Source organism: Homo sapiens, chromosome 11, assembly GCF_000001405.40.
Source record: "Homo sapiens chromosome 11, GRCh38.p14 Primary Assembly".
NCBI classification, from domain to species: domain Eukaryota; kingdom Metazoa; phylum Chordata; class Mammalia; order Primates; family Hominidae; genus Homo; species Homo sapiens.
In genome coordinates, this window is record NC_000011.10 from 128,591,451 (window position 1) to 128,597,298 (window position 5,848).

Sequence of the window (5,848 nt, forward strand, 5' to 3'; positions counted from 1 at the left end):
CAGAAAAAAGCCTCGTGATAATTCAGAAGACTTCATATGTGCAGAGAACCAGTATCTAAACAAACTACCAAAACCAAGTAGAGTGAAACCCAGATACTATTACAAGCGTGGTTATCACCAAATATTGAAAAGAAAAAGAAAATATGCTGAAAATAAAGCAAAGAGCAGAGAACCATTGTGCATTGCCACTCCAGCTCTGGAACTTCTTAGCCTGTACTTTGCAATGACTCTCTCTCCTTCCCATGATCAAAAGCAAAGCCTTTGTCTTGAGCCACAGCTGAGACTGCAATGGCACACATACGTGTGCACACATCTGGCACACAGGTGCTCATCCTTCTGTGTGTGCCAGAGAGCCTATGGAGACCCGGATTTCTTGGCGTAGTCTTCCCACAACCCCTGATGTGCTGCTCCATTAGTCCTTGCACCAACTTTCTGGTTTTTTCTTCCTCTCTAGAATGTAGAATGAGCTGGGCACAGGCCCCCAGGTAGACTCCCTGCAAAGTAGCTTAGCTAATGTCGGTCAAAAATTCTTCTCCATCCTGGTTCCACTGGGCCTGCTAAACATCCTGTGGACTCCACAAACTCAGAGAGTTTCAGCAGAACGGACCCTTCTGGGATGTATGATAGCCCACTGAAAACCCCATATCTTGCCACCCCCTCCTTCCACCCCCATTCCTTTCTATGTACTTTTTGTCACTCTGTCTCCCTGGTCCCTTCTCCCTCAAAATACTTCTCACTTTTTCTCTCTGTCAGTCTAACTCCTACAAAGTTATTTTTCAATCTCAATTTAATTACAGGATGAATATGCGGTTGTAGCATATTCAAGTCATACAGAAGGGTATGAATTCAAAAATGAGAATCACCACTTCGGGTCCCCTTCCACCCAGTCTCACACCAAAAAGCTAACTACTATTTAGGGTTTGATATCCAGCCCTCCAGTCTTTCCTCTATTCTTATACCCATACTGGGCCTTTTTAATGGGATTGTGTTCGATGTATTGTTCTGGGACCTTCTACCATGCATCCGGCAGTATGTTCAGCAGCTATGTCTTTCCAGATTGGCCCCTTCGGAGCTGCCTCAATCATCTCAGCCAGCCCCCGTAATCCCCTGTGACATCCCTTAAGCTCCAGCTCCAGTCCTTTCTTTCTCTCCCTGTGCTTTTCCACGCAGCTATTGTCTTGCTCCTGCGTTGTCACAATGAGCTATTTAAGTTCCCGTATCTCCTGTCCACGTCTTTCCTGCCTTATCTTCCCCACTAGAATGTGATTCTGGGGGTGCAGGGTCTGTGCCCTTGACATTTCCTTATCACCAGTAGTCATATAAACTGCCTCCCCAGCACACTCCCTTGAACATACTATGGACTGGATAAATATAAAAAGTTAGAGCTTGACAGCTCAAAATACATTGTGTACAGCATAATGCCATTTTTACAATCTAAAACCATAAATCGACTAAGTATTGAGAGGTTATTTCTGGTGGTATGGAAGATTTTTTGTTGTATTTTTGTTATGTTTGTGTTTTCTGATTTTTATACAATGTTGTATTGCACCTGTAACAAGAATAAAAAACCAAATTTTACAGTTAAGTACATGACTTTATCGGTCCAATGAAGACGACAGGCTATCATAGTGTGATAGCACAGCCTCTGAGATCAAACTTCCCAATTTAAATCCCAGCCTTTGTTCTTTCTCAGTTACCATGGACATTTTAAGATTTCCGATTTTTGGTTTCCTCATATATAAAATGAAGATAATGGCACTGTACACCTCAGGGATTACTGTGAGGATTAAAGAGGTAGTGAGACCTAAGTATTTAATTTAGTGATTAGAACAGACTTTATACTCAATAACTATTGACTGCTATTATCAATGGCATGGCCGGGGTGGACCCAAGGCTCCCATTTCCCAATTCAGAGTCATTCTCACCACAATCCATAAATCTTCACAGGAGAAAACCCCAGGGGCTGATTGTCCCTTCTACTTGGAATGCTGGTTTGCTAATCCGGAGAGAAAAGACTGCTGCAGTCCCCAGTAATGTAATTAGCACACACTTGCTGGAGAAGGGTGTCCTGCTGAGTCTGTGGAAGGACAGACCACTGCAGCTATGTCTCAGTGACTCACACCAAGTCATGCCGACTGCATTAATTTTTCCTTATGCAGCAGTCCACTGATTACAGATGGAACCCAGTCTTCGAGTCAAGCCCTCCTCCCCAGCACAACTGCAATAGAGCCAACCTTTTGAGTTTCCCCAAGCATGTTTTCTAGTCCTAATTTTAGAAGGCGGCCCACTTTCATTGGAGGGACGCTAAAACCATTACTATATTTCCTGACCTATACCAGATAAACTGGTCTTAAACTTCCCCTCCTACATGTGTGGAAGGCTAGAAGGGCTTCTGGGAGGTGTCTGGGCTCCGCTTTCTCCAAGGTGCACAGGAAGCCACCACCCTAGTTCCAGTTTCACAGTATCTGTGCCTTGGACTTTTCCATGCTTGCCCTGCACCTGGACTAACTAACTCAGTAGCTTCTGCTCAGATAAGATACGTTTTCCAGGGCAGAACATCATGACCAAGAATTCTAGAAGCCATAGTTTGTGAGCTGGGAATAATCGTTAGGGATTCTGCAACATCATCACCTTTCAGATAAGCAAAGAGAATCAGGGAGATTAATCTCTTTTCCCTGAAGGGAAAGTGGATAAATCAATTTGCCAAATGTCATCAACACTAAGTGGTTAGCCTGTTGGTGGGACTGCATATTGAGCACCTTCCGTGAGTCTATTGGTCTATGTTTGGGACCAGGGTAACCATACTAAAGAAGCAACATTCAGATTAATTGACCTGTCAAAGGAATAATCCTCCCATTTTCACACTAAATGTCTGAGGCTCCAGGGGATAGCTCAGTCCCCGGTAGACCAGGAAGAGGAAAGAACAATACAATGTACCACAAAAAATCCTCATGGATTTTGCTGTTTCAAAACATGCCTAGGGCCAGAAGTCCAGTAACTACAGTCAGCTGCATCCATGAATGTGGTGAGGGATTTATAGAAAGCCACATTCATCAGTTGTTAATGTACTCATTATATTGGCCTGATGCTGATGAATGACTGGAAATAGAATGGTGTGTTTTTGAGCCTTTTTAGGACACCACTTCAACCAAATGCCAGGTTTGCTGCTGACATCTTTATCCTGGATACTTCCCTTACTCCCTCAACATAGCCAAGACTATCTGTGTACTCAGAGGCTCAGGGAGACAAACTAAGAAGATCCAGATGTATCAATCATACATCTGGTTTTGACCTGTATTCTACCTCTACAAGGAGGTTTTCACTGACTATCCCTATCTCCCTCTTCTCACTAGATTCTGTCTTTCTACCATATGTTTCAGTAGTGTACTACTGTCCCTTTTGTAGCAAGAATTACATTGTAATTATTTGTGCATTGTCCTTTCTCTTTATTTATTGTAAAACCATGGGGGTAAGGAATGGATCAGCTTTGTTTGCCATTGTTCCTGCAACACTTACCACAGTGCATGAAACATAAAGTAAAGGCTAAATAAATATTTGATGGATAGATATATGACTAGAATGATGGATGGATGGATGAGTGGATGAATAGATGAATGGATAAATAGATGGAATGATGAGTGAATGGGTAAAAATGGATGGATGAAGAGATGGATGGATGGATGGATGGATGGATGGATGGAGAGATGGAAAATAGATATTTGAATGTTGGATATATGTGATCTAATTAATCTAACAATTTCTTAACTTTTGGTTCTTCAAGCACTCATCCTTTCCCCATTGTTCCTGCTGGTGTTCCACAACATAATACCAAAATGCTGGCACCTAACTCTGTCTCTTTAGTACACATCACACAACTATTTTAGCGTGAACTTTTTTCCAGTCAATACAAAAATAAATCTGTCAGGGGAATAATTTATCTTTTACGTAGCACAAAGTGAAGTGAAGAGCTGACAATTAACCAGAAAATTCAGGCTGCATAAACAGACAGAATGAGTCACTACTTCACACCAGATTTCTTTTTGTCTGTTATCTGGGTAATTCAGTCTACATCTGGTGTCTTTTTCCTTGACTATTTGAGTAGTTGTCTCAATACATCCCTCATTTTATTTTTCCTCGAGGAGGAATAAAATAGAAAAAAATTAACTTGTGATTTCTGGACTGAACCTAGACTTCAGGGTTTTATTTCCCACCTAGTTTATTTTCCAAGAGTTTCAAGCCTGAAAAACACCTGAAATATGTTACTCATTCTTATAAGTGGCTGTCGGTTATGGGAAACTTTTCACATTGTACAGGTATGTAGAGATGGGATGCCAGTCCTGATTTGGAACAAGCGTAGAGTATGGCAAGAAACACTTTGGTTTCCAGTATTTTTAACTGGAAATGTCAAAAAAAAAATGCGCACATTTTTTTTAAACCAGCTGAGAAAATCACATAAACTTGAACTCAACCTTTGCACCAACCAGAAAGCATCCGGAATAGCCAGAGATGCTGACCTTGTTCCCAAGGAGCAGCTTGTGCCTGGAGAGAATCTGGCTCATTATCTAATGGAATTAAACTGCCAATTAAGACTGTTTTTTGCAACTTGCATCACAGCTCATCCCTGGCCAAAGCACAACATGATACAGTCCAGTACTTCTAATCATATTTGGTGACATTTCAAAAAATAGTTTTTAGAAATTCTGGGTGTTTGGATAATATATACTTTTAAAGAGGGCCACTGGGGGCTGTGGTTCACGCCTGTAATCCCAGCACTTTGGGAGGCCGAGGCAGGGGGATTGCTTGAGCCCAGGAATTTGAGACCAGCCTGGGCAACATGGTGAGACTCTGTCTACAAAAAATGCAAAAATTACCCAGGCACGGTGCCTCTCAACTGTAGTTCCAGCTACTCAGAAGGCTGAGGTGGGAGGATCCCTTGAGTCCAGGAGGTTGAGGCTTCAGTGAGCTGTGATGGCACCAGGGCAATGGAGTGAGACCCTGTCTAAAACAGAGAGAGAGAGAGAGAGAGAAAGAGAGCCAAAGGAACAGAAACAGAAAGAATAAAAGTGAAAAAGGTATTGTTGCTCCTTGCTTAGAGTAGAGCTAAATCTTCCAATGTGTAAGAGGTTCAGAAGGCTGATATTTGTCTAGATTGTGAAGAAAGTCAGCCCTAAAGGTGATCAAAATTCAAAGAAGCGTAGGATGAATAATTTATATTGAAATTACACACTTCCTTTAAAATCACTTTCCAAGACTGAAATTTAAGGACTTCAATCTTGAATCCAAAAGCAACTCTGCCTTCTATCTCTTTATCCAAATAGTCATTATTCTTCTTTAACTTAAAACTAATACACTTCAATTGTTTAAGATTTGGGAAATATGAAAAAGTCAAAACAAGAAGATTAAATTCACCCATAATTCCCCGCCCAGAGGTAGCCAATGATAACATTTTAATGGATAGTTTCTTTGCAGTCTTTTCTGTGCAGATAGGTATTTTTTACATTATACAAAATAAAATAGGTTATATCATACATGATATTTTAACCTATTTTTTTCTTATAAGGCCATTAAATGGGTCTTCTGCAGTGTATTTTTATATAGCTGCCTGGTATTCTCACATGTATTCCTACAATTCAGAAATTTAGCACAGGACGGAGGCTTCATTTCATATTAACTTTTCTAGTAACGAGAAGAATCATCAGCCCCAGATTTAATTTCTAGTTTTACTAACTAGTTGTGTGTTTGGGGACAAGGTTTCCTCATCTGAGAAGTAAAGGATTGCATGGTTAATTTCTTGAATGTCCAGGAGGAGTATCTGACACATAAATCATATAATGCACAGTTGCCTACC